This window comes from Homo sapiens, chromosome 3, assembly GCF_000001405.40.
Source record: "Homo sapiens chromosome 3, GRCh38.p14 Primary Assembly".
NCBI classification, from domain to species: domain Eukaryota; kingdom Metazoa; phylum Chordata; class Mammalia; order Primates; family Hominidae; genus Homo; species Homo sapiens.
The window spans coordinates 130,423,294-130,435,924 of NC_000003.12; the positions used below are offsets into that span (position 1 = coordinate 130,423,294).

The following is a 12,631-nucleotide window of genomic DNA, read 5'->3' on the forward strand; positions in this document are numbered from 1 at the left end:
AATGCTGAGACAAGCATCCTTTCATTTTAAAGTTTGAGTGCCATATCAGTGGTCACCATCAGTGTGAAAAAAGATGCAACTTAATGGATACTTTCCATCTGGCTGGATAAATTTCATTAGTATCCGTATCCATCACTTTGGGGTATGAGAATGACATAGCCCACTCATGTCCTCTTATGAGTGTAGGGAATCATTTTTCTTATTTGATCTTTTACAGATGGGAGGTTTCTCATTAGATGTCTGTGTACCCTCATATATTTGCTCTTCCAATTAGCACCAATCCCAATTTATGGCTAATTAAGATTGAAATGCACGGCCAGTGCCAGAACAAAGTATGTCACAAAGAGGCTAGGAGGGAAATGGATGTTTAGCTGTCATTAAGAATATATTGTTTGTATCACAAGTAAGCAATTTACCTGACTTCAATTAATAGCTGCTATCTTTTTAAAATTTTTTTTAAAATTAGAAAGTCTTATCGAAACTGAAGTAGTCCCCATAGATAGACAGTGTTGAAACTAATGTATTAATATATTCCTATCTGCAGCTCACTGTAGGCTTGAAAGGTGAAGAGGGATCTCGAGGACTCCCAGGCCCTCCTGGACAGAGAGTAAGTGTATCCATAAGAACTAAATAGGATATAGTAGTTTCCAGTATGTTCCATGGAAAGGGCACAGAATTTAAAGTCAAATGCACTGGATTTAAGTCCAGATTCTGCTTTTTACTAGCTATATGACCCAGTCACTGGGTCTTTGAGTTTATTTCTAAAATGAGTGGATGACATATTCTGTCCTAACTACCTCAAAAGGTAGCTGTGAGGATCAGATAATCAAATGTGAATACTCTTTGTAAACTGTAAGGTTTACAAATAATAATATTGCATTGCAAAATAATTAATAGTAAATAAAATATATAAAGTACAATGCAAATAGTTAATATTGGTTAACTCCAGTGTTAACTCCAGGTTGATGGAGTTTACCAAAACCACTATTGTTGCCTTCCTATCCTCAAAATTTAGACTTCAGAGAGATTTGGAAATATAGGCGCAACTTCCCCTATGATTCTATTACAAGAAAAATGGCACCTCTGGAGGCGTTCTCAGGCAGAGTCAGGCATATCTCCCACTGACGAAATAGCCATCTCTCTATTTTAGTGCCTCCCAGGTTGTTGTAATGATTTAGTTACATGTCTGTCTCTCCTAACAAGCACAGTCAGGTGAGAATTAAATATTGCGAGCACCTGTGTTTTGTGGTGGAGACCCAGGCAGCATTGTGTAAGGAGTGGATAAGCTGCTTATCTTGTTTTGTGCATTGTGAGTATTTTCTGATTACTTGAAGAGGTTCTTGAACTTGGGACTTTATTATGAAAGCAAAAAACGTGAATGGTTTTGTGGAAAACTGAATCCATATTAGAATGACAATCAGCTAACTGTAAGGATACTCTGATACAATATTTACTTTTTTGGCATTAAGGAATGTGTGAATATTCCTAGTTATGCGAGTGAGAATGTAGTCTCTGGGCCAATCTGGTCTGTTCTGGATTTATCTCCTCAGATTCTGGGGCTCTCATCTGGGGACACCCACATCTTCCTGGTCTTGTGCTTGGCCAAGCTAGTCTGGACTGGAATTTGGCTTCTTTGTCTCAAGCTCTTGATCCTCAGCCTCTGCTTAAGAACTTGTTCAAAGTTATTTAAGGGCTCGCTCTTTCAGGACATCCTCTCCATGGTTCTGATTCTCTGTAAAATGTGGACTGTCTACTCTGTGTATTAGCCAGAAACTGTTTATCTCTCTGTTTAAATGGTCATGCATTCTTTTCTGTTATCTGCCATAACTTGTAAAAGGAAGAATGACACTACATGTTTTCGTGGATGCATAATTTCCTGATTCGAATTAGAAGGTTAATGTGTCCCAATGGGTACGACTGGGGATGCCACAACAGTTCGGATTAACTCCAGCAATCCACAATAGGCCACATAGACATTCAGCAGACCTTTAACTGTTTATTGGATGGATGGACCAATGAAGAAGTAACCCAGTTGTCATTTAGAACAGAGGTTCTTATGCCGACATCCCTGGTTGAACCTCTGAGGGAGTCAATGAAATTGTACAAGTGTAAGCATGAAATCACATTTTTTTTGAAGTGAGCATACAGGCATTCATTAGTTGCCCAAGGGAACCTATATTTGCAAATATATTAAGAATCACAGCCAAGGAGAAGCCTGATCCTAATTAATGGAAGTAAGAAGGAGCAAAGAGAAAAGCTCAAGCTGCTGAGAAAGAAGGACTGATTTCTTTCAGGAAGTCTTCCCTGATTCAACTCACCAAAGTATTTGTTTTGCTTTGCTCCATAATCTCTTGGCATTTATGAGCTTGTTGTAATGATTTAGTTACACTTCTGTAACTCTTCTTTTGTGTAATGTTTATTTTTCTGTGTAATTGTCTTTGGGCCTTTCTCATATGTAGAGGCTGTTTCTTATTTCCTGTGCTTTACACTCTTGATGCGTAATATAACTGTTCCTCTGAATTCCCAATAAATTACTCTCCTTGGCACTGCCCTTTGAAAAGTCTGCTGTTTATAATTTTAAGCATTCTTATGAGAAATACCTTCCTCTAAGTATTACATCTTTAGTAAAAGTATCTTTAAGAAATACCTTTGTTTCTTCTTATCACTGAAGAAAAATAATTTTGTTAACTTTGGTAAACATTAGCTTACCTGATCTAACACTGAAAGAAAAAATCTACACCCTTGATGTGAGTAGGGAAAATATATGGCAATTAATCCACTGGGTTCAGGAATATTTTAACTACTCTCTACCAGCTGTGCTTTTAAGAAAGAAAGTTTTTTGTTTTGTCTTGTTTTATTACTAAAGACTAAAGACTTCAGTTGGCATACCACTAACTTGCTCTGTTTTTGTTTTTCCTAGGGCATTAAAGGCATGGCAGGGCAGCCTGTATATTCTGTATGTATCTCCTTATTCATGAAAGAAAACTCAATAAGTTCACTGGGAAATAAACACAGTTACTCAAAAGTCACTGTACTTGCATTTCTTTTCTCTCTCCTTTTTCAACATTTACAGCAATGTGATCTGATCCGGTTTTTGCGGGAACATAGTCGTGAGTATCTGTTACGGAACAAGAGCATCCATCAATGGTTGGTGAGGCACTTAGGACTGTATGCAGTGTGGGTATGTGAGATCAGTAGGATGAGTTCACTGGTGGGAAGCCTCTGTAACAAGCTTGTCTGGAGTGCCTACTGTAGAATATTGCACATTAAAGGAGAGAGGAAAGGGGGTATAAGTAAAAGTGCCTTCGCTCATGAGGGGCAATGCAGACATCAAGAGAAAACATGCATATAGGAAAATTAGAGAAAAACCCAAAAGATGAGTGAATTAACTCACATTAGTATAACAGTTATGAGCGAAAGGACTGGGAGGGCATGTTGTTAAAGGGATGATCATGGGGGTTTGGGACTAGTCGGTTACTCAGTTAATAAAGGATGTTTGCATGGGGGTAACTGAATCCAGCTATGGGAAAGTGATGGGGGTGGCAAAAAATAGTTTCAGAAAAGGAATAAAGCAGGAGTCAACATAAAGAGGTTGTCTTTGGTTATAAAGAAGGAAAAATAAGGTAGAAAAGCCCAGTAATATAATTTCTGAAAATTTGTCCCAAGGAAATACAGCAAAAGAAAGAAAAAATATAGGTAAATATATGATTGTTGGAATATTATTTGCTAAAGCAAAATGATTATACATTTAGACTGTTTACACTTATAGAATAATTAGGTTATAATATATCATCTTCTGAGAAAATATTAACCAAATATAGTTTTTATGAAGACAATCAAACTTTGAAAAATACAGGCATTAAATATTATAAAATGAAATTGAATCCTCATTATTTTTGCAGGTAGGTAAATACATACATAGAAACAAGTACTAGAAGCAAAAGTAGAAAAACAATGATTTACTGTGTTCAAGGAGGTGGAATTTTAGGAGATCTGTGTTTCTTCATTATGTTTCCATTGTGGTTTTTAAATAATCATAATCAGAAGAATGTAAAAGGGGAAAATCAGAAACTTTACTGAAGGAGACTAGATAAAAATGTTGTCATTGCAAGTATGTGGCAAGGAAAGAACAGCAAAAAAGCAAGTTTAGAATAACCGTCAGGCTAGCAGGGGAGAGGCTGAGTGTCACCAAGGATGAGTAAGCAGAGGAGGAATTGTGAAGGGAAATCAATTGGTTGGAGAAGATGATTAGTTTACATATTTTAGGGGTAGAGGAATCTTGTGTAGACCCTACATGAAACGATCGACCCCAGTGAAATGGGGCTTTAGTAAAGGTGAGGGAAGGAGACTCAGATGTTGAAGTCATTCAGTGCTGGTGGTCCTTCAAAACACATGGATGCATGAGGTTTCTCCAAATGTAAAATTAGAGAGTCAGAAACAGAATCTCAAGGAGTTTCTGTTTCTTGGCAAAAAGAGTGGGGCCAAGGTACAGAAAAATGGCATTACAGAGATGGGAGAGTCCTGCCAAATGTGGGCAGCTTGCAAGGAGGCAAGAGGAAGGAGGCAATGGAGAGGAGGTTCAAAGGGAGGAGATAGTGGGAAAGGCCCTTCAGCACACGAGGAGATGAGAACTAGGGACTGGGACCACAGGGAGAGAAAAAGGGAAGAACCATTGTAGGAGAAATGAATGTGGGATCAACTTTCCTCATGTTGCCAGTCTTCTCAGTGAAATCAAATTATGTCTTCCCAAAGAAGACCAAAGGTAGGTGGAAGGGGCTGGGGAGGTGAGGACCAGCATTGGAGGGTTTGGGATTTGAAGGGAGAAGTTTTCCAACATAGAATAAAAGGAATTAGCCCATAAATCAGGAGGTCAGAGAAGAGTAGGCAAGTTCTATAACCACACAGGGCACTGATTGGATAACACGGAACTCCAGGATGCAGACTGGAGATTAAGATGCAGGCAACAGGCCGTTAGAGCTGATCTAAATGGCCTCACTTAATAGCTGACATTTCCAAGGCTTCTCATCTAACATCATTTGCTCCTCAGTCCAGTAGCAGCTCTGTGACATACAGGGATGAGGGCCAGGCTGAGACTGTCTTTGGAAAATAAAAGAAGGTGTCTAGAAGGCTGGGGGAAATTAAGAGAGAAAGGGGGTGGTTGAGAATAAAACAGAAGGGCCCAAGTGATTAGCATTTTGGAGGGAGACACATAAGTAAAGATTTTTAGGAAAAATCAACTTTAAAGAAATTGTTCAAAAGAGTTTAAGTAATTTCCCCCTAAGTCACCCAGCTTTTCCAGACTCAAACCCAGCGGGGTTTCTGCTTCTACGACCTGTGCTTGTAGCCTTGCAGCTATGTTTGAAGTTAACACGTGGAAGTACTCAGTCAGGAAAAAGGGGTCTGTTTTGAGCCTACAGATGCAAAGGAGGCTGTGGGTTATGTGTGCTGTCTGATGGCAGTTAGCATCCCAGGGGCCATGGGGTTAAGACAAACAAGAGGTGTTCACAAGGGTGGATGGCAGAGGACCACTGTTGCACGACAGCAAGACAGAAGGCTGGTGCGTTGCCAGTATTAATAATATCTTTTATTATATTGGAGTGACTCATTTGCTTCCTAGGAATCGAGTGAAATGAACATGGAAATTGTCAGGCCTGTGGTTTCTTAAAGATGTATCAATACTTTCCCGGATTCCTCTCAGTTGAGGGAACCAGATGCTGTTTTGCTCAGGAGAAACGCTTGGGGTTTTTTCTTCCTCCCTCTGGATGTGGAGATCACTCAAACAGAGGAGCTGTTTTTTATCAAAGACAAAATTCACTTGGAAATCCCCCTATGGTTGTATGGGAAAATAAAGGCTCCCAAGATATTCATCAGGGAAGAAAATAAGACCCCGTATTTTAGCCTTGCATTGCTGAATGACTCTCAGAAGGCTATAAGATGAGGCAAAACAAATTGAATTTCAGCTATCTTGCTGTTTAATCAGAGGCTCATCTGTTTTTGCTTCTAAGACAAGTGATCAGTGTTTCAGTTTCAACCAAAATTCTGCTAAAGTCTGCTGGCTGTGGCTCACAAATGGAAAAGGTTAGGAAGGCTAACAAATTAATAAAATTCTGTTGACATCTTCCTCAATACTTTAACCTTGGCTTCCTGTCACTTAGGAATTAGCCTCATTTGCAGTTAGACTCAAATAACATTTTCAGCTTTGTTAAAATGTTGTTTTTTGAACTATTTTTAGTCTTGTTTCAAGAAGGTAACAAACTTTTCCCTCTCTCCTTTTCACAGCTTGCTGGAAAGGTGAGTATTCTTACCATGCTGTTCCCTGCTGAGATCATTACTGCTGCATTCCAACAAGACCAATCTGAAAGATGCCCTCAACTCCGTGGGAAACAGGACTTCTTCCTTCTATGCAGACAGTTCTTTCTTTTGATTATGACTGTAATTGTCAGTGTCATGATTGACCTGTTTATGAAATGGTGACTGAATCCCAGCCCCTAGCCTGGGACCCATCACAGTTTACAAGTCAGTTTCTCCCCAGTGCTGGCCCTGTGCTGCTGGGGGATTCAGTAAACATGGCTCTCTGACTAATCCACGTTCTGTTGCTCTGTCTGCTGCTGACGCCCTTGACACTGGCTTCTTGGGTGTGAGATGTGCCCTTTCCTCCCTCTGGCCCACACTCAAACCTGTCATCTCACTGAGTGCCCACTACTTGTAAACCTTTCCTGCCCATGGCTGTGGATGGTCTTCCCAGGGCCTAACCTGTAGTCGGGGCTGCATGGCACCTTAGAGCCCTTGGGTGGCAAGGCCATTGGAGCCAGTGGCTATGTCAATTTCAAAACCTCCTGGTCTCCTAGAGGCCTGCTGATGTAGACCCTCAGGGTCTTTAAGCTCGGTGCAAGTTTGGAGCCATTCACCTTAATTCTGCAAAAATATACCTTGCAAAGAGTAAGTGCTCAATACAACTTCATGGATTTGGATTAAATATATCTTTCATTTTTCTTATTCTATTGTTTATTATCAGCTTTCATATTTTAAAATTACTGAAATTTCTTCATGGTAAAATTCTTTGATTCAAAACACTTCTCTAAATGAATACTTCTCTATTTTTATTTCTAAGAACAGTGGTTGGGATATGGGATATTTTGAGTGTAATATGCTTTGGGAGTTAGCCAGATTGGGGATAGAGAACAGCCTGAGCAGATGGAAGTGCTTATTAAAAGAAAAATCATTTTTCTCTTCCTGTGTTCAGACTTTAACAAGGACATTGAAAAGTGAGGTTTGATACATAGGGTAGATTTTCTATGAAATTCTAAAGTTCAGTCATCATAAGACATGAGTATTGAGCTAGGAATGGCAGATAGTCCCATTTTTATAAGAGCTTATTGCAAACTTTTCTTGGTTCCCGTTGCTTCCTTCCTCTTGCCACCCTGGCCTTCACTGAAAGCCAGCTTTCCTGAAGCCCCTGAGATAGCCCCTTTTTGGAAACAGCCTCTTTATCCTCTGAATCCTCATTAAGAATAATCTTTACTCTGTACCTTATAGTATAATGATCCTTGCCAATACAAGTTCCTCGAAGGCAGTGCTGCACTTGATTCATCTTTGCATGCATTTCACAGTGAATGTTATGCTGCATTTCATGTGGTAGGTACTCAAATATTTGTTGCATAAGTGGATGGAAATCTTACATCTATCTTTATAATTAATAGATCATTTCAGAAGATTTTGGGGGAGAGCAGATTTTCAAGATCTCCAATAAGCTATAATTTATTTTTATTCATTTTTAAATTTTACACACAGTAAAATTTATTTCTCTTTGTATGTGTTCAGTTTTACCAAATGTGTAGATTCATGTAACCACTATCCCAGTCAGGACACAGAAGAGTTCCATCAGCTCAAGAACTCCCACCAATTTCATTTTACACAGCTGACTGATTGATAGTGGGCTGTGAAGTCTGAGCATTATATAGCCAAATATTCATGCTCTGCATTTATGTTAACAGCTTCAAGTTTGCAGGCCAGATTTCTTTCCTTTCTTTGCACATGGGTACCTTTAGTTCTAGAGCTGGATGAAGCACTTGCTTTGCCTCTGTATGAACCCACTTCATTGGAGTAAAGAGTTGGGGAAAGGATTTTGATCCAGTGAAATAACTTAATACTTCTGCTTTTCTTTTTTCTAGAAAAATGTCCAGCATATCCAACAGAGCTAGTATTTGCTCTGGACAATTCCTACGATGTCACAGAAGAGAGCTTTAATAAAACACGGGACATCATCACTTCCATTGTCAATGACCTTAACATCAGGGAAAATAACTGTCCTGTGGGAGCAAGAGTTGCCATGGTTTCCTATAACTCAGGCACCAGCTATCTCATCCGCTGGTCTGACTACAATAGGAAGAAGCAGCTCCTCCAGCAGCTTTCCCAAATAAAATATCAAGACACCACAGAGCCCCGAGATGTTGGTAATGCAATGAGGTTTGTGACCCGCAACGTGTTCAAGCGGACGTATGCAGGAGCCAACGTGAGGAGAGTTGCTGTGTTTTTTAGCAATGGTCAAACAGCCAGTAGGTCATCCATCATCACGGCCACCATGGAGTTTAGTGCCCTGGATATCAGTCCAACAGTCTTTGCTTTTGATGAGAGAGTTTTCCTTGAAGCTTTTGGGGTAAGAATTTCTCTTGGCAACTTCTTTAATTTTAAGATAGAGGTAGGTATTGTGATAGGGCAGGATGGGAGTGGTAGAGAGTCAAGAAATATATGTGGCCTCTTGAAAACTCCTTTACAGTTTTCACAGCTATATTGTTGTCAATGTCTGTGAAATCCAATCCTGAATAATAACAACAGTCAATGATAACAGCAACCACATTTGCTCAGCTCGTGCTGTATGCCAGGCACTGTCCCTAGAGCTTTCCATATGTATTCATACATTCTCACAGCCCTCGGAGGTCAATGCAGCTGTTGTCTCCATGTTAAAAATGAGGAAACTGGGGCTGGGCGCGGTGGCTCATGCCTGTAATCCCAGAACTTCGGGAGGCCAAGGCGGGCGAATCATGAGGTCAGGAGATCGAGACCATCCTGGCCAACATGGTGAAACTTCATCTCTACTAAAAATACAAAAATTAGCTGCATGGTGGCGCGTGCCTGTAATCCCAGCTACTCAGGAGGCTGAGACAGGAGGCTCACTTGAACCAGGGAGTTGGAGGTTGTGGTGAGCCGAAATGGCGCCACTACACTCCAGCCTGGCAACAGAGAAAGACTCTGTCAAAAAAAAAAAAAAAAGGAAACTGAGGCCCAGAGGATTTCTAGTGACTTAACTATATACCACTACTAAGTGGCTAAATTGAGATTCGAACTTAGGTCTATGTGATAGAAAGGACCATGAACATGCTGCCCTGCCAGCCCTCTACTGCTCTGGTGTTTCTCAAATTTGTTATCTGCTTGCTGTTGCTCACAGAACAGCTGGCCTTAACCAGTGATGGAAGAAGTTCAGGGGATCTTTGAACCCCTATGGTGGTGCAAAACATTTGATGTATATGAACATTTTTCCCAAAAGAGGTCCTGTCACTTTTGGATCCACAGATTCTCAAGGGATCAGTGCTCCCCTTCCCTTCCTCCTAAGAAACTTAAAAACCTCTTCATCTGTTCAACAACTTTTCAGTATATTCAGATTATCCATAAAATACATTCTTCTGGAGCTGTGTAAAGCCATCATGTCCTTCAAGAGATTATAAAGGTCTATTTTTATAAAAAATGTACAATTTCTACCATATAAAGAGAAAGAATCTCTCTATAACATGGAGAGAATCAATCTGTTCCTAACACATCCAAGCGTTTTTTGGAAATAGGAGCCACAGAGAGTTACAACAGATCCTGACAAAAAGGATTGCAGGAAGTCAAAGTCCTGTGGTTTTCAGTTTTTCTTTTTGAAATTTTTCTGCCTCCTTAATTTTTCTCTCTGGGGAAAATAAGTGACTTTCAGCTTTGAGAGTTGCATAAAATTCCAGAATACAAGAAATCTTAATAAGACATCAAATTTAATCCTTATCTTCAGATAGGACTGCACCAAAGCCCTCAGAATCCCCAATGAGAAAGAGTCTCCAGTCATTCTTGTTAACAAATCATTTTAAATTTGCATCATATCTACAGAGAAGGTGACCCAGGAAGCTATCTGGTTCTCATCACTCTGCTCTTGCCAGATAATAACCCCACACAGTCATTCTGACTGCATATCACGCCTTGAGCAGTGCTCCCTTTAGTCATTCTTTATTCTTCCCTGCCTTGCACTCTTCTCCACTCAGGACATCCTCCTCTCTGTCCCCCTCTCTCAATTCCCTCCTTCCAATCCTCTTCATCAAGTCCTCACTGCTTCAAATCTGAAGGCATAGAGCTGCTACCCTTGGTGTCTGAGAGTGTCTGTTTCCCCTCATACTTACCCACACTGGATTTTACCTATTGAGCTTTTTAAATGTTTGCCGATTGGGTAGGTAAATAAGAGTTTCTTGTTGTTTTGATTATATTCCTGTGTGAGGTTAAACATTTTTTCATATGTTTATTGCCCATTTTTATTTTTCTGTGAAACTCACCTCACATCCCTTGTATCCCTTGTTTTTGGCATTATTATTTCTTTTGGCAAGTCTGCTCTAAAATAGTTTGCCTTACCTTTTTTTTTATTTCTTCTAAAAAAAAAAACAAAAACAAAAAAAACAGGATACATGTGCAGAACATGCCGGTTTGTTACATAGGTATACATGTGCCATGGTGGTTTGCTGCACATATTGACCCATCTTCTAAGTTTCCTCGCCTCAACCCCCACCCCTCGACAGGCCCTGGTGTGTGTTGTTCCCTCTCAGTGTCCATGTGATCTCAACATTCAACTCCCAATTATGAGTGAGAACACGCGGTGTTTGGTTTTCTGTTCCTGTGTTAGTTTGCTGGGGATGATGGCTTCCAGCTTCATCCATGTCCCTGCAAAGGACATGGTCTCATTCCTTTTTATGGCTGCATAGTATTCCATGTGTATATGTACCACATTTTCTTTATCCAGTCTATCATTGATGGGCATTTGGGTTGGTTCCATGTCTTTGCTATTGTAAATAGTGCTGCAATAAACATATGTGTGCATGACTCTTTCTAGTTAAATGATTTATATGCCTTTGGATATACACCCAGTAATGGGGTTTCTGGGTCAAATAGTATTTCTGATTCTAGATCCTTGAGGAATCGTCATGCTGTCTTTCACAATGGTTGAATTAATTTACATTCCTACCAACAGTGTAAAAGCATTCCTATTTATCCACAGCCTTGCCAGCATCTATTGTTCCCTGACTTTTTAATAATCGCCATTCTGACTGGCATGAGATGGTATCTCATTGTGGTTTTGATTTGCATTTCTCTAATGATCAGTGATGTTGAGCTTCTTTTCATATGTTTCTTAGCCACATAAATGTCTTCTTTTGAGAAGTGTCTCTTCATATCCTTTGCTCATTTTTTGATGGGGTTTTTTGGGTTTTTTTCTTGCAAATATGTTTAAGCTCCTTGTAAATTCTGGATATTAGACCTTTGTCAGATGGGTAGATTGCAAAAATTTTCTCCATTTCTGTAGGTTGCCTGTTCACTCTGATGATAGTTTCTTTTGCTGTGCAGATGCTGTTTAGTTTAATTAGATTCCATTTGTCAATTTTGGCTTTCGTTGCAACTGCTTTTGGTGTTTTAGTCATGAAGTCTTTGCCCATGCCTATGTCCTGAATGGTATTGCATAGGTTTTCTTCTAGGGTTTTTATGGTTTTGGGTTTTACGTTTAAGTCTTTAATCCATCTTGAGTTGATTTTTGTATAAGGTGTAATGAAGGGGTCCAGTTTCAGTTTTCTGCATATGGCGAGCCAGTTTTCCCAGCACCATTTACTGAATAGGAGATCCTTTCCCCATTGCTTGTTTTTGTTAGGTTTGTCGAAGATCAGATTGTTCTAGATGTGTGGTGTCACTTCTGAGGTCTCTATTCTGCTCCATTGAGCTATATGTCTGTTTTGGTACCAGTACCAAGCTGTTTCAGTTACTGTATCCTTGTAGTATAGTTTGAAGTCAGGTATCATGATGCCTCCAGCTTTGTTCTTTTTGCTTAGGATTGTCTTGGCTATATGGGGTCTTCTTTGATTCCATATGAAATTCAAAATAGCTTTTTCTAATTCTGTGAAGAATGTCAATGGTAGTTTAATGGGAATAGCATTGAATCTATAAATAACTTTGGGCAGTATGACCATTTTCATAATATTGATTCTTGCTATCCAAGAGGATGGAATGTTTTCCATCTGTGTCCTCTCTTAATTCCTTGAGCAGTGGTTTGTAGTTCTCCTTGAAGATGTCCTTCACATCCCTTGTTAGCTGTATTGCTAAGTATTGTATTCTCTTTGTGGTGATTGTAAATGGGAGTTCACTCATGATTTGGCTCTCTGCTTGCCTATTGTTGGTGTAAAGGGATTCTTGTGATTTTTGCACATCGATTTTGTATCCTGAGATTTTGCTGAAGTTGCTTATCAGTTCAAGAAGTTTATGGGCTGAGATGATGGGGTTTTCTAAATATACAATGATGTTGTCTGCAAACAGACAACTTGACTTCCTCTCTTCCTATTCGAATATCCTTTAT

The 12,631-nt window shown here is 39.7% G+C and overlaps 1 protein-coding gene across 3 annotated transcripts in view; it reads left to right on the plus strand.

Annotated features, from left to right (window-relative positions):
* Positions 1-12,631, plus strand: part of COL6A5 (collagen type VI alpha 5 chain) — a 139,175-nt gene that overhangs the window by 77,622 nt on the left and 48,922 nt on the right. For all 3 annotated transcript variants that reach the window (NR_022012.3, NM_001278298.2, NM_153264.7), the window contains exons 29-33: positions 545-607; positions 2,921-2,956; positions 3,074-3,110; positions 6,280-6,291; positions 8,172-8,656. Coding sequence is in view for 2 of the 3 variants with exons in the window: in NM_001278298.2 (NP_001265227.1) it covers positions 545-607; positions 2,921-2,956; positions 3,074-3,110; positions 6,280-6,291; positions 8,172-8,656 (633 nt within the window). In the remaining variant the exon portion in view is untranslated. The remainder of the gene's footprint in view (positions 1-544; positions 608-2,920; positions 2,957-3,073; positions 3,111-6,279; positions 6,292-8,171; positions 8,657-12,631) is intronic.